The sequence below is a fragment of the Homo sapiens genome, chromosome 21 (assembly GCF_000001405.40).
Source record: "Homo sapiens chromosome 21, GRCh38.p14 Primary Assembly".
NCBI lineage: Eukaryota > Metazoa > Chordata > Mammalia > Primates > Hominidae > Homo > Homo sapiens.
Genome location: NC_000021.9, coordinates 40,698,377 through 40,721,475, shown reverse-complemented (window position 1 = coordinate 40,721,475; position 23,099 = coordinate 40,698,377). Strand labels below are relative to the sequence as shown.

At 39.3% G+C, this 23,099-nt stretch overlaps 1 protein-coding gene across 3 annotated transcripts in view; it reads left to right on the top strand.

Annotated features, from left to right (window-relative positions):
* Positions 1-23,099, top strand: part of DSCAM (DS cell adhesion molecule) — an 836,160-nt gene that overhangs the window by 125,683 nt on the left and 687,378 nt on the right. For all 3 annotated transcript variants that reach the window (NR_073202.3, NM_001271534.3, NM_001389.5), the window contains exon 2: positions 12,705-13,022. Coding sequence is in view for 2 of the 3 variants with exons in the window: in NM_001271534.3 (NP_001258463.1) it covers positions 12,705-13,022 (318 nt within the window). In the remaining variant the exon portion in view is untranslated. The remainder of the gene's footprint in view (positions 1-12,704; positions 13,023-23,099) is intronic.

The window sequence follows — 23,099 nt, the reverse complement described above, 5'->3', positions numbered from 1 at the left end:
TTGGCTGTTTGTATTTTCTCCATTTCTCTCATCAATGAGCTCTTCCTTTTTCCTACTGTCTTGTACATATTGACAGAATATTTATAAGAGTGATGTTAATATCCATGCTTGCAAATTGTATCATCTCTCATTTATGTGTCTTTCTGTGGAATAGTTTACTCCTAATAATATGCCATATTTCCCTTATTGTGTCCAATTTTTTATTGAATGACAGACATTGTAAATTTTATATTATTGATTGATTGTTGGTTTCTATTAATTATCATCAAAGTTTTTTGTTGTGCAGTTCAATTACTTAGACTCAGTTTGTTCCCTTCTAGGATCACTTTTAAATTTTGTTATGATTAATTTGTCCCCTGCAGCTGTGTGATACATTTCTGAATACTCAATCTGATGTTCTATTTATTAGAAGTTCTTACCTCTTTTGCTGGTTGAAACATGAACTATTTTCTCCCCTGTGTGAGCTTCACAGATTTTCACCCACTTCTTTCTGGTGTTCCTAATCCAACCTTGGTAGTTTTCTTACACGCATGCAAATATCAGCACACAGTTAAGGACTCATCAACTGGAAGCTCCTTCCGCTCTCTGGAGCTCCCTCTCTATATAACTTCCTTCTTTCCACTTTGTAAATTCTAGCAGCCTTAGTCCCCTCAAGTGTCATACTTGGTCCCCCTAACCCCACAATATAACCAAGTTTTATTCAAATTTCCTCCTTTTGGAATTATCTTAGAAACTCAGGAAGTAAGCTGGGCCACTCATAAGGTCCACTTTGTTTGTTTCCTTCTTTCATTTTTTTTTTTTCTGTACTGTCTGAAACTTTAGTGAAGACATAGAGTAAATCCAGTTCTTGTTTCTGTGTTTTTGTTTGTTGTTTTATGATGGACAGAGACAGAATTTCATATTTCTAAGTGATGACAGTTGCAACATCATTTCACAGCTTGGGAGTAGATAGAATGAGTGAAATATATTAACGTTAAAGGCAAAATTGCTATAACATATGAGCACATTTTAATAACCTGACTTGGAATCACTTCATAGAAGCCTTGGAATGCTTTCCAAGTCATTATAAGCCCATCATTTAACTGATTTGTGATTGTCTGATCGAGATGACACTGAATTTCTAAGCATTTATCCAAAGAAAAAACCATTTTGGAGTCTCAGAATCAGCTAAATGTTATGCTTTCTAGATATGTTTACCTAAGGCTAAGTTATATTCCCTTTCATTTTGGAAGACCTTTACACAAGCAGTTCATTTTAGTAAGCATACCCACTCACGTATTCCTATGAAATCAATAAAGCTAACTTGAACCCAAATGGCATTTCCATTCAAAATTAATGTACCCAATTTGCAAATTCGATAGCCTGTTTTAGTTCTCATGTTTTCTGACCTCTCTGAAGCAATTGACAGTGTTGAAAACTGTTGGTTAACGTCTCAAAATGTCTTTTTGTTTCTAAGACATCACTCTCTAGGGTTTGAGCTACTGATCTCCTAATTTCCTATTTATCTCCTTCATGATTTTTTTCCAATTTCTTTAAACTCTTTTAATTTTTTAATTGAAATGTTACATACATGCAAATCACTGTGTACACATGCAGTGTGCCCAGCACCCAGATCAAGAAAAAGAACATAGCCTGCACCTTGGATGCCACCTCATGGCCCTTTCCATTCTCTGCACCTGACCCCACCCCCACGGGCAAACTTTATTCTGACTCTCAACATCATAGATTAGTTTTTCCTATTTTGATGTTTGATATAAATGGAACAATACAGTGTAAATCCCTTTGGTGTCTTTTTGCTTTTCTTCACCATTATAGTTGTGTGATTTATAATATTTTATGTGCAGATTGTTCATTGTTATCAGTATGTAGTGATTCAAGGTGCCAATATATCACGATGTATCAATTTTATTATTGATCGATATTTGGTAAGTTTTCAGTTTGTGACTGTTACAACGTGTTGCTGCTGTAGATATTCCAGCGTGTATTTTTTGATGGACATATGCATGTGCTTTTGTTGTATAAATACTTAGGAGTGAAATTGTTGAGTCACAGTGTACACATGTGTTCCCTTTAGTAGAGGCTAATAATTTTCCACAATAACTACTGATTTACATTACTACCTGCATTGTTTGAGGGTCTTGTTGCTCCACATTCTTAAGACCCTCAATATATTCTGTCTTTTCCATTGTAGTTATTTTGGTGGATGTGTAGTAGTACCCCACTGTACTTTTAATTTACTTTTTCTTAATGACCAGTGGCATTGAAGCACTTTTTAATGTGCTTATTGGCCATTTATATATTGGCCTTTGTGAAGTGACTGTTCACACCTTGTGTGTGTGTGTGTGTGTTTTTCTTCTTTGGAGACAAGGTCTCACTGTGTCGCTCAGGCTGGAGTGCAGTGGTGCGATCTCGGCTCACTGCAACTTCCAATTCTGGGGCTCAAGTGATCCTCCTACCCCTGCCTCCTGAGTAGCTGGGACTACAGGAGCATGCCACCACACCCAGCTAATTTTTGGTAGAGAGAGTCTTGCTATGTTCCCCAGGCTGATCTTGAATTCCTGGGCTCAAGCGAGCCACACACCTCGGCCTCCAAAAGTGCTGGGATTACAGGCATCAGCTACTGCACCCAGCACTTTTGTCCATTTTTGTTGGACTATCTTTTTATATTGGTGTGTAGGAGTTCATTATGTATTTTGGGTACAAATCTTTTGTCAGATATTTTCCTACCTTATAAAATACTCCCTATCCCTGAGGATTTACTTCTGGTTTTTGTCTCTTCTTGTTCTTTACACTTGATATGCCTTGGCTGTGCCCTCACCCAAATCTCATCTTGAATTCCCACATGTTTTGGGAGGGACCCAGTGGGAGGTAATTGAATCGTGGGGGCAGGTCATTCCCGTGCTGTTCTCATGATAGTAAGTCTCACGAGATCTGACGGTTGTTAGAAGTTTTCCTGCACAAGTTCACTCCCTTTACCTGCTGCCAACCATGTAAGACGTGACTTGCTCCTCCTTGCCTTCCACCAGGATTTTGTGGCTTCCCTAGCCATGTGGAACTGTAAGTCCAATTAAATACCTTTCTCTTGTAAATTGCCCAGTCTTGGGTATGTCTTTATTAGCAGTGTGAAAACAAACTAATGCAACACTTTTCTTGGAATATCTCACCCAGTGATAGACTTAAATTTCCCTGGCTGCCAAATATGTCTCTAGGGTCTTGGACTCCTATTTCCAATTTGCTATTGGGTGGCCCAGGGGCAGTGCCCTCTTTACGTTAGTGAAACTGACATGTTGTTTCCTTTACCAACCAGCTCTGTCTTGTAGGCTCTCTTTGTAATAGTGTAACTGTGCAACTGGGTATGCAAGCAATTACATTTGCCTCCTATTGACTTTTTTTATTTTCTTCACTCTTTTTGCTCCCACATCCCTGCCCACCGATGCTGGTAGGATCATATCAGACATATCCATAATTAGGCCTTTTTTCTCCCTTCTCACCACCAATGCCCAGCTGGCCTAGACTCCCAGCAGAGCAGTCTAGCCAGGCTTTCTGCCTGCAGTCTTCTCTCCCTGTCTACTCAGTGTTTACTTTCTCAAACTTCAATTTGGGAAATTGATTGTTCATTGTCAAAACTTTCATTGACTTCCTACTTTTTAAAATAGCTTTATTCAAATATAATTTAGATACCATAAAAAGAATCCACTTAAAGCATACAGTTTAGTGGTTTTTAGTATATTCACAGATAAGGTGCCTTCACCACAATCAATTTTAGCAGGTTTTCATCACTTCAAAAGAAACCCTCCTATCCTGTCCCGTTACCCAGTCCTAACCATAAGTAAGCCACTAGTCGACTTTCTGTCTCTACAGATCTCCCTCTTCTGGACATTTCATACGAATGGAGTCATACAGTATGTGGCCTTTTGTGGCTGTAATTGAGGGTCATCCCCATTGTAGCTTGTGCCAGTTCTTCACTCTAGTTTATTGCTGAGTGATATCCCATTGTAAGGCTAAGCCGCATTTTGCTTACCTGTTCTTCAGGGGATAGACATGTAGGCTGTTTCCACCATTGGCCATTATACATAATGCTGCTTTAAACATTTGCTCACAGTTTTGTGTGGATGTATGTTTTCATTTCTCCTGGGTATGTGCCTAATTGTCCTTATTGTCTGCAGGGCTAAGCGCATGCTTTTTAGCTTGGCACCTGACACTCTTTACAATCTTGACTTTATAATCAGCACCCTTCCACGCCTTGGTTATTAGTGTGTCTGCTGGTCTTGGCACAGTGCCAGATACATGGTAGGTGCTGAAGAGTGTTTCCAAGATAAATGAATCTAAGAAACCTGTAGCTCCCTCTCCTAATCGTGCAACACTTTTAGCTGTGCATTGAATTTCCTGCTTCCCAGCACCTTTTTATTTCTCTCCTGACTGGGACAACTCAATGTCCTAATATTTTTTAAGACTTCTGCCTAGAATGTACTTTTCTTTCCTCCTCTGGAAAGTTGTTTCCATTTTTCATAGGTCAGATTAGTTTCTCTATCACTTATGCTTCTGTTGCATTTTGTGAATGTTTCTGTCACAACCTTCGGTAAATAGAATTATAATTGACCTCACTATGTGAACTAGAGTACCCTTCAGACTGAAATTTCCTTGGCAGTAGTACCAGGACTTGTTATATCTTGCATTACTGGGCCCTTACACAAGACCTGGTACCTAGTAGGTGCTCAATAAATATTATTGCATCAGTGAATGCTTGTGTCACTGCCTACTGCAAAATTCCTCCCACATCTCCCCTTTTCACCCTGCCCTGTTTGAATTTTAAGAAAAGCTAAAATATTGATTTATTTTCTTTTTGGTGTAACACTCTTCTTTATGTTTGTCAGTGGAGCCTTGGTTATGCCGTCTGTTACAGGGATGTAAAATATTGAGAAGTCTGCAACTGAAGAAACAATTCTCCAAGGTCCCTCCCATTAGCTCCCTTAGTGTTGGTACCCCAGGATTTTCAACCCTGAATTTCACAAGATTGTGCTGAATGTTTCATTTAGCTTTCTGTTTTGAACCCACAGTTATTTTTTAGGAACTTTCACACACACACACACACACATAATTCACATTAAGGTTGCCTCTGCCCTTACTGGAGGAAGCAAATGTTACTGTATTAAAGAGCAGGAGGCACTCTATAAAAAGAAGTGCTATTATTTAGGCAGATGGATGGTCCCTTAGATGGAAGAAACAAAAGCTGTTGGAATATAGTTTGGGTTTTCTTTTGCCTGTGGCCATATGATGTGTCTCTTAGAGAATGAGTTTATGTTACATTATTAAACCCTGTGGCATGAAGGAGAAAGACTAATGTAAAATTCTTTAAAAATATAAGGAGAAGTGACAGTAATCCCCCATAGGTCGCTTATCTCTTTAACTGCTAGGATTAAACATTTATTTATCATTTTTTTCCTGCAGTCATTTAAATAATTTCACAAGCTGGCTTGTGGAATGAGATTTTCAATAAGAAACTATACATTTAATTAAGCAATGTTTCTTGTATACATTTACATTTTTAAAGTCTTGCTATTCTTAACAAGACTACTTTTAGGATACAAGAGGATAAATTCAAATATGACCAAATTTTGCTTAGTTCAAATTACCCACAGTCGGGTTGATAGAAAAATAATGTAGGGAAAAAAAATAAAAGAATCCTGGTGGAATTAATTAGCCTTGAAGAGTGACAGTTACCTCATTCCTAACAATATGTTTGGGGTAATGTCAGTTTCTTGGAAAGCTCAAATGTAAAATTACAGTGCTACTATCAGCATTTTTATTTGAGTTGAAAACTGCCGTGTTGAACTATTAACTATGCTTCTGATCTGAACCGATTTCTTAGTTAGCAATAATTTTCATATTCTGACTTATGAAGCATTGCTAAAGACTTTAGTTATGGTTGGGAGAGAAAACTATAAAACACTTACGACTTGATGAACACCCCTGCCTCTCTTCTCTGTGGGTAAGAGCTATCGCTTGTACAAAATGTATTTTTCTCTGCCACCTTTTGGCAATTGGTGTTCACTGTGCTTCCCAGCTTAGCCATAGCCCCAACTGGCCCTGGAGGCCAAACTCTTGGTTTCTGCCAGTGATGGAGACCAAGAGAAAAACGATGGATGTTTCAAGTAAGATACCTGGAGGATGCTAAATCTCATGGACACAGCTTCCCCTAGATCTGACTTTCCGGAATAAAGGCAGGCATATAATGAAACTAAAATAGTGATGTGAAAAGGTTTCACCTATTCTGTATGAGTGTGAAGAGTGAAACTTTCGTGAATTGTTGTCTTGGTTCATTTTCTGCTACTAAAACAGAATACACAGACTGAGTAAATTGTAAACAACAGAAGTTTATTTGGCTCATGGCTCTGGAGGCTGAGAAGTCCAAGGCCATCAGGTGAAGGTCATCCTAGGTGGAAGGATGGAAGACAGAAGCAAGTGTTCAGGATAGAAAGAAAATGGAGGCAGAATGTATTATTTTATAAGGAGCTCACTCCTGTGATAATGACAATAATCCATTCATGAAGGATCTGCCTCTTACGAGTCACCTTTTAAAGTTTCCACCTCCCAGTACCATTACCCTGGTGATTAAATTTCAACGTGAGTTTTGGCAGGAACATTCAAATCGTGGTATTCTGCCCTGGCCTCCTGAAACTTCTAACATACAAAATGCATTCATTGAATCCCAGTACCCCAAAAGTCTTAAGTAATTCCAGCATCAGTTTGAAAGTCCAAAGTCTCATCTGAATCAGATATGAGTGAGACTCAGGCATGATTCATCTAGAGGCAAATTCCCTCCAGCCATGAGCTATGAATCAAAGCAAGCTATCTAATTCCAAAATTCGATGGTGAGACAGGAACAGGATGGACATTCCCATTCCAAAAAGGAGAAAGAGGCAGGAAGAGGTAACAGGTTTCAAGTAAATCTAAAACCCAACAGAGAAAACAACCTTAAGTTTAAAGCTGGATAAGAAACCCCTTTAATTCCATGTCCCTCACCTGGGGAACACTGGGGTGGGGATTGGGTCCCCAGGGCCTCAGGAAAAGCTGCCTTGGTGGCTTTGTTGGGCTCTTGGGCTCAGTTTACCCAGCAGCTCTCATGGGTTGGAGTCTTATGTCTGCAGCTCTCCCAGGCTGATGTTATGTGCTGGTAGCTCTACAGTTCTGGGATCTCAGGGCCAGCCCCACTTCCGTGGCTCCACTAGGCATTACTCTAGTGGACAGTCTCTGCTGCAGCTCTGGCCCATTAATTCGTCTCAGCACCGCCCTAATGGGGACTCTTTGTGCCGGCTCCACCTCTAAAACAAGTCTCTGCCCAGGGCCGCAGGCTTTCTGGGAAGTCTTTGAAGTTTAGGTGGAGAAAGCCATGCCCCACAGCTTTTGCATTCTGTGCACCTGCAGAATTAACACAACATGGATGCCACCAAAGTTTATGATTAGTACCTTCCAGAGCAGTAAGTTAAGCCAGGCCTGGGACCACTTGAGCCATGGCTGGGGCAGCTGAGGAATACTTTGTCACAATGCAGCGGATAGGTCCCGAGACAGCTTGGGTAGCAAGCCACGGAGAGTGCCCAGGCCTAGTTATTAGCTCATCTAGTTATTAGATTAATGTCTCTTCTGCCTCTATTCTGCTCCCTACTTCTTCCTTTATTGTGACAATCTAAAGTTGGTGCTTAGTGTTTAAATGACTGGTTACATGACCATTTAGTTTCTTAACAAGATGTAGTGCTAAAATGCATGAGCTCATTCCACCATACCAAATCTTGACCACCATATGCCATCCTCATAACTTTCTAACAGTTCTTCCTAATGAAGTTTTCTTTCTAGGCTATAGTAGGCCAGGAATCTCATTACACTTGCCCTTCCTCATCCCCACACCAACATATTTATTGATATATTTCCTAACCTTAGTTAAAGAATGAAGTTTTGCCATGTGCACTCTAAGGTATATTTGTGCAAGGAAAGACAGCAATCCTTCCCATCTCTCCTTAGTGAGGTTAGGGGTTAACCTTCTTGGTTTTACTAAATAGAAGTCTACATTCCATATAGGCACACGAGAGCAAGTTTCCTAATGTAACTGTGACACAACACACGTCTCAATGCCCTGCAGGATTGTGTGTCATTGACCACTGTGTTTATACTGATAAACTTTTCTATAATTGAAGCCTTTGGCCCTGGTAACATTTCCATCCTATATGACACCAGTGAAAAGTTAGAGTTTTCATTGGTGCCATATATGGCCTAACAGCCAGAGTGACCCTCAGATCTCACCCCAGTAGTGGACCTGTCAGGTAGATATCATCTGCCAACATCCCCAAGGAGGTGTAGGTCTTCAAGTGTGAGATCATCCATGTTATTTCCAGCATTGTTGAACAAGACACTTCTTGAGACGCACAGATTGACAATAGCTTTTGATGCTTCCCCTGATCAAGGAGAAAGAGGGTCTTATCGGGGGCCCATCTACTTTGGAGACATCTACATTGTGTGTCCCTCACAGGGGAGCAGAATTCACATCAGTATGTAGGCTTTCCTGTTCATAGTGGAAGGGGGGCCACAGTTTGTAAGCATCTCTCTATATCAGGACCTCGCTAAAGGCTTTCGCCTGTACCCCCCACCTTCTCTCTCTCTCTCTCTCTCTCTCTGTCTCAACTTCTATACAGTCAGTTCCTAAACTGTGAGAGGTAATTCCAATCTACTTAAAAGAGTTGTAATTTTGTAAAATAGAAATTCCAAAAATACTTCAAAAGGTTACATTATATTATCAACAGAAGTTTGACATACCACATGAATTATGAGATGGGAAAATGAAAAAATATGGGGACAGTGAATGCACCAACTAGCATTTACGAAACACACACAGCTTGCTAGGCATTAGGCTTAGGGCTATGAGCCCATTGAATATGTGAAGTTTAACTAAAAATCAAAATGTTTATATAATAGATAAATGTTAGATTCTTTTTTTTTTTTTTTTTTTTTTTTTTTGAGACGGAGTCTCGCTCTGTCGCCCAGGTCGGACTGCGGACTGCAGTGGCGCAATCTCGGCTCACTGCAAGCTCCGCTTCCCGGGTTCACGCCATTCTCCTGCCTCAGCCTCCCGAGTAGCTGGGACTACAGGCGCCCGCCACCGTGCCCGGCTAATTTTTTGTATTTTTAGTAGAGACGGGGTTTCACCTTGAAATGTTAGATTCTTACATGAGTATGTTTTCATAAAACAAACTACACACTGTCACTGTCCAGATTCAATGGGTTCCCAAAAACATAACAGCCTGAGAGTCTTAGTTGTGTCATTGCCTTATTCAATGTAATAATTATTGCTTGTAAAAATGTTTTAATCCAGTGATAATCCAGATTTAGTACTTTCTTCCATCTTGGTGTATTTTATTTATTGCTCATGCTCTATTGGGGAGCTTACATGGGATGTTAGTTGGCACTTTCTGATTACTTTATTTAAAATAGAAAAACATTTCAGAAAGACATGGTTGTAGAGGGTAACTAGCAGAGCCTCATTTGATGTCTCCTGTTGAGTTACCTGAAGGGAGATGCTCAGAGGAAGAGTTGCATGCAGAAGGCCTCCTGGGAGTGTATTCTCAAGAGAGACATCAGCAAGGGTGTGAGGAAGGCAGAATGAGTGGAGGGAGAAGCTTCTCTGCAAAGCTCTGATGATAGCGGTCTCAGGTGGGATGCACCTTCAGCATTGTTGCAACTTAACACGAGGGGGCCAGGCTTGTGGAGCCACCTTTGACCAGTCATTCCCTGCAGGCCTCAGACAAGGCAGTTCCCTGTAACTTGGGCTGGTTCCCAGTGTAGGACTCAACATAGGATCTTTCCAGCTGCTTTGGGGCAGGGTGCATTGGCGCTAAAGAGGAAATCTGAAGGGAGCCCCACAGTGTCCACCAAGTGGCAGCAGGGAAGAACATGCTGTGAGTAGAGTCAACCACATCTATTCAGCCTTGTGCCAATGCTTGGATGCTGTGCTTCCTAACAGCAGGGTGGAGACCACCCGCTACCCTCACATTTAGTGAGCAGGTTAAATCTTATTATTATAAGATGAGTCCAATCACCTTTGTAAATAGTGTTAATTTCTTCATCTCTTTCTTACCAAATCATGTCAGTTAACTACAGGCAAAGTGAGGGGCTCATGTATTTTATCACATAGACTTAGTAGCAACCCCAGCACATAGCAGGAGCCTGTAACCCCTCAGCTCCACACCACGGAGAAAGACTAGATCTGGAAGCACAGGCCATAGACCCACTCTATACAGAGCTGCCTGTAATCCCCACACAAATGAGGGGGGACTGTTATGCCACATTTGGTTCTAAGATGAGAAAACAAAAATCTCAAAAGCCTTCATCAGAAAGACTGAATCTAGTTCTGCCACCTCCTAGCCCTGCGTTCTTGCTCAAGTGACAGCCTGTATCCTGTGTCCTTGGTCAAGTGACAGCCCTGTGAATCTCCATGTCACCGTCTGCAAAGTGGAGCCTTTGTTTACCTAGCGGAGCTGTTGTTCATCTCGAGTGTTAGAAGGTTGTCTGGTATGAGATACTATGAAGCATACAATAAATGTTATTCTCACTTCTGACCAGTGAAGTTCATTCGAAATATCTGGGGCTTCTCTTCTCTCTTACAAATATGTAACTAGGTATGCACCTGCTTTAGAAAGTCATGGAGAAGCTCAGATGTGTGACAAGTAGGCCTTCATTATATTTATAAATCTTTTATTTAACTTGTAAATTCTGGAAGTCACGTTTTATTTCTTCACATAACCAACACTCCAGAAACACTTGTTATAGGCCCTTAAATGAATTAAAAAGCCAAATGTGTATGAACACATTTGATGATATTTACTTGTAGAAGCGAAAAGAGAAACAATTTAAATGAAAAGAGCAGAAAAACAGTTCATAAGAATATGTATAAATTGTGCATTCACTGATATTTACTTGTGAAGTCCGTATAGAACCATGGAATAATGTAGATGATGTATAAAAGAATTAAACAGTTATAAAAATGGTACATTTTACGTATGTACACTTTAACATGATATAATTATATAGATAAGGCATGGAGGCAGGTGGACCACAAGGGAAATGTAAAAATCAAAACAGACACTGTAGGCTGGTGGAGTTGAGTCATGCTTTTGTCAAAATTCTCTTTATTGTTATGTCCTATTTTAAATAAAAGTGTATTGTTGATTTGACATTGTATTTTCTGATAATGGTGCTTTTTTAACATGCTTTACTCTACAAAGAACTTAAATTTACAAGAAAAAAAACCCCATCAAAAAGTGGGCAAATGATATAAACAGACTCTTCTCAAAAGAAGACATTTATGCAGCCAACAAACGTGAAAAAAAGCTCATCATCACTGGTATTAGAGAAATGCAAATCAAAGCCACAATGAGATACCATCTCATGCCAGTTAGAATGGTGACCATTAAAAAGTCAGGAAACAACAGATGCTGGAGAGGATGTGGAGAAATAGGAACGCTTTAACACTGTTGGTGGGAGTGTAAATTAGTTCAACCATTGTGGAAGACAGTGTGGAGATTCCTCAAGGATCTAGAACCAGAAATACCAGTTGACCCAGCAATCCCATTACTGGGTATACACCCAAAAGATTATAAATTATTGTACTATAAAGACACATGCACACATATGTTTATTGTGGCACTATTCACAATAGCAAAGACTTGGAACCAACCCAAATGCCCATCAATGATAGACTGGATAAAGAAAATGTGGCACATACACACCATGGAATACTATGCAGCCATAAAAAACGATGAGTTCATATCCTTTGCAGGGATGTAGATGAAGCTGGAAACCATCATTCTCAACAAACTAACACAGGAACAGAAAAGCAAACACCGCGTGTTCTCACTCATAAGTGGGAGTTGAACAATGAGAACACGTGGACACAGGGAGGGGAACATCACACACCGGGGCCTGTTGGGGTTGGGGAACTAGGGGAGGGATAGCATTAGGAGAAATACCTAATGTAGATGACGGGTTGATGGGTGCAGCAAACCACCACGGCACGTGTATACCTATGTGACAAACCTGCACATTCTGCACATGTATCCCAGAACTTAAAGTATAATAAAAAATAAAATGTTTTACATATGATTTGCAATTTTAATTAAAAATGTGGCAAATTTCATTGCATAATAACCCTCAGTGAAGCTAGTAAAGAGAGCAATTTGATCCCAGCAACAAGATCTAGGCATTCACACATTCAGCTTCCCTTTACTGAGAGTCCAGTGAGAGCTGGGCTCTATGCTCCAGGTAATAGTGGGAGTAAATTAAGACCTTGTCCTCATGAGGCTTATCTCTAGTGGCAGAAGATAGACAATAAGTGAATATAAAATATATACAGTCCAATGGTGGTCAGTGTGGGGAGAGAACAGGGTTTGGGGCATGAGGCAAAAAAACAATCTATTAAAAATTAACATCCAGGATAACTTAACAGTTTGTGTACAAAATGTGAAATTAGGATGGTGCCTTATTTTTTAGTATCAGCCTGTCTGCTCACAGCATTTTCAGAAAATTTGAATTATTTGGTTTTATTTGAGCCTGCGCCTCATGATTAATTTTCAGGATAACTTTCTGAGGCCAGACATTGAACTGCAAATGTCAAAGGCATGTTTTACTCACCTATGGATCCCTGTGTTGTCTTCTTGCAGTTTTCAGTGAAGACCTACACTCCAGCCTCTACTTTGTCAATGCATCTCTGCAAGAGGTAGTGTTTGCCAGCACCACGGGGACTCTGGTGCCCTGCCCCGCAGCAGGCATCCCTCCTGTGACTCTCAGATGGTACCTAGCCACGGGCGAGGAGATCTACGATGTCCCCGGGATCCGCCACGTCCACCCCAACGGCACTCTCCAAATTTTCCCCTTCCCTCCTTCAAGCTTCAGTACCTTAATCCATGATAATACTTATTATTGCACAGCTGAAAATCCTTCAGGGAAAATTAGAAGTCAGGATGTCCACATCAAGGCTGGTGAGTACAGCTCTGGGCTTTGTTTTTTCTGTGCCTGCTTGGGATGGGAGGATAATGACAATGACACATAGCAAAATGCCATCACAGCAGAGAACCAATGAAAACCCCATCATCAGTTCATTCTGACCTTGCTGATGACTTCTTTAAGGTCTCCTTGTTTAGATTTCAAAGTGCCTTACATTGTTGGAACTAAACCTTGAAAGAAAGCAGTGATTAGCAAGTTGGCAAGTTCTAACATCCCAGCCTCCTTATATTTTGTCTAATTTGATACTCTAATTCAAATTTTCAGTGTCTCAAACCCAATGTGTTTGCTTCCACCCCTCCTTTTTTCCCACTTGCCCTTCCCCTACCCCATCCTAGGGGAGGAGAAAGAGAGAGAAAAAAATGACAAATGGTTGAGCTGGAATAAAACCATAGCATCAAGATGTACTGTTATGGAAACAGAATCAATCTAATATCCTTGCTTTCCTTGTGAAATAGAAAGGCTATTTTAACATTTTTGACTGTATCACATGTTGCTGAAATGTTGTCAGTACATAAATCCTGAATGGGCTATGTTCCTTTTAACAACATATTGTGTCTTTTTTTAATCACCATTGCTACAAGTCAACCCAGGAAAGAATACTGCCTGAGATACACAGACATCAAGGGCTATATATACAGGACAGATTGTGTGGTTCTATAGATTTAACAAAGCCCTGCAAAACAAACTCACAGCTAGACTCCTGTTAGCAAACAGCATTTTAATTTTTTTAAGTCTAGCTCTGAAATACTTGTGTAGACTGACATAATATAATAGCAGGGCAAAGAGAATGTGACTTTGATTTTTTTCTTATACACCAGGTAGCTGGGGGAGCTTTGCAATAATTTCTTCAGTAAGTGAGTAGGTGCTGGTAGAAGACATCACAACATGAGAAAAATATGAGGTGTTTCTGAATTCCTGCATATGATCTCTTTGATGTAAGCCATCAAACATTAGACTATGACTCATGCTGCTAGCTAGTCATTTTCCCAACTATATTTTGATCTTTGTGACATGCTCATGAATTCCAAGACCTGCATGAGAATTCACATAAGAAAGAAAAAAAGGATTGTCTTTAATCAAGATATATGAAAATTTGATGTGTCAAATAATTACAATGCAATTTGTATAGGGACCTCTAAACCTGACAAACAGGGAGATACAGTGAATGACTTTTACTGGGAAGACTGCACATTTTAATGATGTGTTATAAAAGCGTATTTATAATCTGCAAAACACCACTTATAGGGAAACCTAGAATTTCAAACAGCTCCATCTGTGCGTATTAATCCATTATGTCTGCCTTGGATTTTCTGTCAGATAAAGGAATGAAATGCTTACTCCTGTTTTAACTATCATCTTCTAAATTAGTCATAGAATTCATTGTTTTTGCATGACACTGAAAGTTTTAGAGCATGGACATTGCATCATCTTGTCTGGCGTCTGTGCTACCTGCCTCTTCCTACCCAGTTGTGCTTTTACTATTTATGTGCTGGCGTTCTTGACATCTGAAACCCTATGGACTATGAATCCAGCATATGGATGACTACTGTATCAGTTTGAACATATAAGATGGGCAGTCATATTACCCAAATCAAATTTCTCTCCTGATTTCATTTTGCTTTTTATTGTGAACACATAATGGTTATAATAATCTTTTAGGTTGTTCACTGGATACTTGAAAATCTTTTTTCATCCTGTTTATGTAAATATGAGTACAGAACTGGAAGCTTGTTCAAAAAGACAGATGAAGGGCATAAATGCTACCCTTTGACAGCTGAAGGGTAGGTTTGAGGGTGATGACTGCTCACTCACGGGGTATCCTCTTCTGTATCAGGTCATCCTAAATGTCTAAATATCCCTGTAGATTGGTGTTTGGATTTTCCTGGAATAAGCTATTAGGTAGAATGACTTCATAATCTTTCCCTTGGCAGCACAAGGGATTCTCATTCTTAAATTTCAGAAATTTTGACCTAGGTCTGGGTGCTAGCAATTGAAGGAAGGTTTACTCATCATGTCTCATTAATCATCAATCCTAGTCCTAACATAAGATATTTTCTTGCCTGTTCTAAGGGCTGGAATGCAGGTGGGCCACTTCAGACAGTATTGCTCCTTACCCAGGCTGCCTTTGCTACAGAGCAAGTAGCAATGAGCCGCCTGATCCTGGGCAAGTCAGAAGATTTCTCATGATTGTTTTCTCCTTAGCAGACTGTGCTTTCTTTCTTTCTTTCTTTCTTTTTTTTTTTTTTTTGAGACTGGAGTCTCGCTCTGTTTCCCAGGCTGGAGTGCAGTCGCGCGATCTCGGCTCACTGCAAGCTCCACCTCCCGGGTTCACGCCGTTTTCCTGCCCAGCCTCCAGAGTAGCTGGGACTACAGGCACCCGCCACCACACCCAGCTAACTTTTTTGTATTTTCAGTAGAGATGGGGTTTCACCGTGTTAGCCAGGATGGTCTCCATCTCCTGACCTCGTGATCTGCCCACCTCGGCCTCCCAAAGTGCTGGGATTACAGGCATGAGCGACCCCGGCCACAAACTGCTTTCTAACATTTGACTAGGACTTTTGCTTGTGGCCGAGATGGAGGTGTGGGAGCCACATTTACCCTTTTATCTGAAACAACCAAAAACCAGTGTCCTGAGGCTGATAGGGTTTAACTCTATGTCCGCACCCAAATCTCATCTTGAATGATAATCCCCATAATCCCCATGGGTCCTGGGAGGGACCCAGTGGAAGGTCATTGAATCATGGGGTAAGTTTCCCCCATTCTGTTCTCGTGAGAGTGAGTGAGTCTCACGAGATCTGATGGTTTTATAAGCATCTGGCACTTCCGTTGCTTGCATTCATTCTCTCTCCTGCCACCCTGTGAAGAGGTGCCTTATGCCATGATTGTACGTTTCCTGAGGCCTCCCCAGGCAGTTGAAACTGTGAGTTAATTAAACCTCTTTTCTTTATAAATTGCCCAGTCTTGGGTATTTCTTCATAGCAGTGTGAGAATGGACTAATACAACCAACTGAAAAAAAACAACGAAAAATGCAGACAAAATATCTGAAGCAACCATTTTCAAGACTGGACCTCAGGCAGTAGAGGAAAGCATTCCTTAAGGAGCTGGAAATAAGATGTGTCCTATGCTTGCCTTATGCTTTGGGATAAAGAATATCAAAATCTGCACATAAATTTGTATAGCAACTTTATTCCTAATTGCCAAAACATGGAAGCAACAAAGATGTTGTTTAGTATGTGAGTGGATGGGGATAAAGAATCTCTCCTTGACTAACTTTGGAAAGGCTCCTCTGAGCCCTCCTCTCAACTAGTTCTCAACCTTAGCTTTTCACATCTGGTCTCTTGTCCCCAGCTTTAGCAAGAATCCTGCTAAATCATCCCCTTACTCTTGATACTTGATCACTCTTAATATCTGATCAAGTTCTTCCAGTCCCATCTTTGATGTATACATGTTTGGCCTGATTTTAGCAAGAATCTGTTAGGCCAGTTTAGCAAGAATCCTCATCCCTTGATGTCTCCTCTTTCTAATTTTCCACCCACTGCTCCCCTCACTGTGTTCATTGGCTATAAACCCTCACTTATCCTTGTTGAATATGAAGTTGAATTACCCTTCCCTGTTGCAGTCATCATAGATGACTCCTACTGGAACAGACATGAATATAATCTTATCTTTTTAATAAGTGTTAGAACATTTTTTTCTGTTCTTTAATATTTTTGAGAGGACATCTCCCTCTCTTGTCCAGGTCGGAGTGCAGTGATGGGATCGTGGCTCACTGCAGCCTCAACTTCTGGGCTCAGGTGATTCCCCTCAGCCTCCCAAGTAGCTGCGGCTACAGGCATAAGTCACCACACCTGGCTAATTCTTTAAAAAAAAAAATTTTGTAGAGGGTATTCTCACTATGTTACCCAGGCCGGTCTCAAATTTCTGGGCTCAAGCCATCTGCCTGCCTCAGCTTCCCAAAGTGTTGGGATTACAGGAATGAGCCACAGGGCCCAGCTACAATTTTTCTTTAACATTAGACAAATTATAGTATAAAATGAAGTATTAGTCAGCGATAGAAAAAATGTGCTATCAAGCTATGAAAAGATATGGGGGAAATTTAAATGCCTGTTACTAAGTGAAAGAAGCCAGTCTGGAAAAGCAACATAGTATACCCTTCCACCTACTTGACATTCTGGAAGAGATAAACTAGAGAGACAGTAGAAAGATCAGTAGTTTCCAGGGGATAGTCAGGAGGGAGGGAGGGTTGAACAGACGGAGCACAGGGGATTTTTTTAGGGCAGTGAAACTGTTCTGTATGATACTGTAATGGTGATACCTGCCATTATGCATAGAACTTACAACATAGAGTGAAACTTAGTGTGAACTATGGACTTTAGTTAATAATAATAATGTATAAATATGAGTTTATTGTCACAAATGTATCACATTAATGCAAGATGATAATAATGAAAGAAATTAAAGGATGTGGCAAGAGGGAGAATATGGGAACCTGCTGTGAACTTTTCTCTAAACCTACAACTGCTCTAAAAAAAAATCAAGCTTTATTCAAAAAAATTAAAACATGCTTCAGGAAGCTTAATGACAAATTAAGCCCCAAGGGAAGGGATGGTGAAATTTAAAAAGAAGTGGAAAAATGCAGGCCAAAATTTTCCAAATTTGTTGAAAACTATAAACCCACAGATCCAAGGAGCTCAACAAACCCCAAGCTCAAGACACGTGAAGAAAAAATGCACAAAGGCACATCATAATATAATAAAATTGCTCAGCGCAATAATAAAATATCAAAAGCAGCTACAGAAGAAAGGCATATTACACACAAAGGAACAAAGATAAGAATGACAGTAGACAGGATTTTTGTTGTTGCTGTTGGGTGTGTGTGTGTGTGGATGTGTGTATATGTGTGTTTTATGAGACAGGGCCTTGCTCTGTCAACCAGGCTGGGGTGCAGTGGGGTGATCATCGCTCACTGCAGCCTCAGCTTCCCTGGCTCAAGTGATCCTCCCATCTCAGCCTCCCAAGTAGCTGGGACCAGAGGTGCATGCCGCCACATCAGGCTGATTTTTATTTTTATTTTTGTAGAGATGGAATCTCGCTATGTTGCCCAGGATGGTCGCTAACTCCTGGGCTCAAGAAGTTGCCCTGCCTTGGCCTCCCAAAGTGCTAGGATTACAGGCAAGAGTGGAAGTAAATTTATAAAATAATGGTGAGATGAAGGCTTTCTCAGACACAAAATAGCAGAAAATTTATCATCAGCTGAATCCTACTACAAGAAATCTTAAAGGAAGTTCTAGAATCAGAAGAAAAAAATGACACCTGATCAAATCTTAGATCTACTCAAAGGAAAGAACTGCAATGAAAATGGTAACTACATGAGTATCTAAATCAGATTTTTTAAAAAATTGCAATATTTTAAAAAATAATTGGCTATTTAGACAAAAATAGTAACAATGTCTTAGGTAGTTTGTAACATAGGCAGAAGTAAAACTTATAGCAACAATAGCATTAAGGCCTACAGTGAAGACATGGGAGTGTAATATTGGAGGTTATTTTGCTATATGTGAAGTTGTGTAATGTCACCTGAATATAGATGGTGATAAGTTACAAATGTATACTACAAAACCTAAAGCAACCTCTAAAATAACAAAACAGAGTTATAGCTAATAAGCCCACAAAGGAGAAAAAATAGAATCATTAAAAAATCCTCAATCCAAAACAAAGAAGAAAATGATAAGAAAAAGGAAACACGGTAAAAAAAAAATACATATCAAATAGCAAAATGATAAACCTAACCGTATCAATATCCACATTAAATTTAAATGTTCCAGTAACCTGAATTATAAGGCAGAAATTGCCAGATTGGATTTAACACTGCTTAAAAGAAACATTCTTTAAATACAAAGGCACAAATAGCTTAAAAGTAAAAGGATAAAAATGATATACCATCCTCATCAAATCAAATCAACCTAATTAAAGTAAACCACTGAAAGAAAGCTAGAATAGCCACATTAATATTAAGCAAAGTGTATTTCCAAACAAATACACTGTTTGCTCAGAGCATCTTGCATTAGTGTGATACATTTGTGACAATAAGCTCGTATTTATACATTATTATTAACTGAAGTCCATAGTTCACATTAAATTTCACTCTATGTTGTAAGTTGTATGCATAATGGCAGGTATCACCATTACAGTATCATAAAGAACAGTTTCACTGCCCTAAAAATCCCCTGTGCTCAGAGCTAAAGCAGTTCATTTCATAATGTAAAGGGGGGAGGTGAAGAGGATATGACTATTGTAAATGTTTATGTACCCAACAACAAAACTTCAAAATACATAAAGTAAAAATGGATAGAACTGCAATGAGAATCAGACATATCAAAAATTATAGCCGGAGATTTCAATACTCCTAGTTCAATAATTGGTAGAAGTAGACAGAAAATCAGTAAGAACAAAAAAACACGTGAATGACACTATCAATCAATTTGATGTAATTGACCTTTAAATAAAGAACATTCTATCCAACAACAGCACAATATAAATTCTCTTCTGAGACACACAGACATTTACTAATATAGACCATACTCAGAGCAACAAAACAAATCTCAGATAAATTTGTTTTAAATTCAAGTTGTATAAAATATGTTGTTTGATCATAATGAAATTAAATCACTAACAATAACATCTCTGAGAAATAACCAAGTACCTGAATACTGAATAGCACTCTTTTAAATGATCTGTGTCAAAAAAAAAAATTCAGAAAAAAATTTGAAGAAGGAAATTAGAAAGTTTTTTCAACTGAATAAGAAATGAACACACAATATATATGAATTTGGGGAGTGCCACTAAAAAAATAGGGAGATTTTATTGCTCTAAAAAACTTATATTAGAAATTTTTAAAAAAGTCTTAAATAGTGGTCTCAGCATCCATTTTAAACTGAAAAAGAGGATAAAACTAAAACTATAAGCAGAAAGCAAACAATGAAGATCAGAATGGAGATCAATAAATTATAGAACAGAAAGAAACAATAGAGGAAATCTATGAAACTAAAAGTTCTTTTAAAAAAATTGTTAAAATTGGTGTGTTTTTCACCAGAAAAGTGAGAGAGTTGGTAAATGACTAATACCAAGAATGAGGGAGATAACGTCACTTTATCTTCTACAGGTATTAAAATGATACTAAGAGAACATTAAGAAAAGTAGATGAAATAAAATATTTTTTGAGAAACACAAACTATCAAGACTCACTCAAGGAAAAACAGATAAACTGAATAGCCCTATATCTATTAAAGAATTTAAATTTATTGGTAAAAATTCTCTACAGTAAAATTCCTGGCTCAAATGGCTTCACTATTGAATTCTACTAATCCTTTAAGAAAGAAATAATAATTTTGGCCAGGCACAGTGGCTCATGCCTGTAATCCCAGCACTTTTGGGAGACCAAGGCAGGAGAATCACTTGAAGTCAGGAGTTCAAGACCAGCCCGGCCAACATGGTGAAAATCCATCTCTACTAGAAACACAAAAATCAGTCAAGTGTGGTGACACATGCCTTTAGTCCCAGCTACTTGGGAGACTGAGACAGGAGAATTGCTTGAACCCAGGAGGCGAAGGTTACAGTAAGCCAAGATTGTGCCACTGCATTCCAGCCTGTGTGACAGAGTGAGGGAGACTCCATCTCAAAAAAAAAAAAAAAGAAAGAAAGAAAGAATAAAAATTATAAACAAATTCTTCCAGAAAATTGAGGAGAGAGTATTTCCCAAATCATTTTATGAAGTTAGCATTACCCTAATACATAAACAAGACATAAGAAAACTAAAGACAAGTATCTCTTCTGACTATACATGTAAAAATTCTAAAAATTTAACAAATTGAATCCAACAACATATAAAAGGAATAATACATTATGACCACAAAGGCTTATATTCATAATGCAAGGTGAGTTTCACATTTGAAAATTAATCAGTGTAAACCATGTGATCATTTCAACAGACACAGAAAAACATTGATGAAACCCAACATCCACTAATGATTAAAAGAACTCTCAGAAAACCATCAGTAGAAAGGAACTTCCTCAATCTGATAAAAAGCAACTACGAAAATCCTGCTATAGCGAACATCATACTTGTCAAAGATGAAATGTTTTCACCCCCAAATGAAGAACAATATCAAAGTGTATGCTCTCACCACTTCTATTCTACATCGTCCTGGAGGTTCTATCCTGTGCAACATGACATGCTATAAGAAGATGTGCTGTGACCCAGACCTTCTTGTTTTATTTCTAGAGCATAGGCAAAGTAGATTTGTCATAATTAATTCTAAGAAATAATTTTAGAATTATTGAAATGGTAAATGAGCATTGACTTCATCTTAGTCATCAGCTGCATTAACCCTTAACAAGAATCAGCTTGTTTTTTGAAGCATTGAGGCTAGGCATTGACTTCTCCTCTCTAGCTATGAAAATCCTGGATGGCATTTTCTTTTAATAGAAGGATATCTTCTGTACATTGAAAATATATTGTTTAGGGCAGCCACCTTCATCATTGACATTAGCTGGAGCTTCTAGATAACCTGCTGCAGTTTCTCCATCAACACTTGCTGCTTCACCATGCATTTGTATGTTATAAAGATTGCTTCTTTCTTTAAATCTCAGTAGCCAACCTCTGCTAGCTTCCAGTGTTTCTTCTGCAGCTTTCCCACCCCTCTAAGCCTCCCTGGAATTGAAGAGAGCTAAGGACTTAGTTTGATTTAGGCTTTCGCTTAAGGCAATGTTGTGGCTAGTTTAATCATCTCTCCAGATCTTCTATCTACTCAAATTTTCTCCACACCACCAGTAAGGTAGTTTCACTTTCTTATCATTTGTTCGCTGAAGTAGCACTTTTCATTTCCTTCAAGAACTTTTCCTATGCATTTACAACTCGGCTAAATGCACAAAAGGCCTAGCTTTCAGCCTGTCTTAGCTTTTGATATGCCTTCATCACTAAGTTTAATCATTTCTAGATTTTGATTTAAAGTAAGAGATATGAGACCATTTCTTTCACATGAATACTTAAAGACCACTGTAGGGTTATTTATTGATTTAATTTCAGTATTGTTGTGTCTCAAAAAAAGGGATGCTTCAGGAGAGGGAGAAAGACGGAAAATGGCATGTCAGTGAGGTGGGCAGAGCACATATGACCTGTATTGATTAAGTTTGCTATCTTCTGTAAATGTGGTTTGTGGCTCCGCAAAACAATTACAATAGTAATATCAAAGATCACTGATCAATGATCACCGTAACAGATATAATGATTTTAAAAGTTTGAAATATTGTAAGCATTACCAAAATGTGACACAGAGACACAAAGTGAGTTCATGCTGCTGGAAAAATGGTGCTGATAGAGTTGCATGATGCAGGGTTTCCACAAATCTTCAACTTGTAAAAAACATAATCTCTCCGAAGTACAATAAAATGAGTATTTCATGTGAGAAACGCACATACAGCCATCCAGATGCAAAGAATGGACTCAGAGACACGAAGAACAGCAGAAGCGACTCTTTTTTTTTTTTTTTTTTTTTTTTTAAGACGGATTCTCGCTCTGTCGCCCAGGCTGGAGTGCATTGGCGCAATCTCAGCTCACTGCAACCTCTGCCTCCCGGGTTCAAGTGATTCTCCTGCCTCAGCCGCACTAGTAGCTGGGATTACAGGCATGCGCCACCACGCCTGGCTAATTTTTGTATTTTTAGTAAAAATGGGGTTTCACCATGTTGGCCAGGCTGGTCTTGAACTCCTGACCTCAGGTGATCTGCCCACCTCGGCCTCACAAAGTGCTGGGATTACAGATGTGAGCCACTGCACCCAGCCTAAGCAAGACTTTTGATGCAAGATCAGGCGCCTGTTAGGCAGGCACACCCAGGGCAGGTAGAGCAGGTAATTTATTGCCTAGCAAGCAAGTCCCTCCCCCAGTTCCTCATTGATTGAGTACTATGGAGTTACAATCTTCCTGGACATCGCCTAAGTTTCATTATCCCCCTTTTAAAGTTATAACCCAATCCCCTTCCCCACTTAAGTTTTG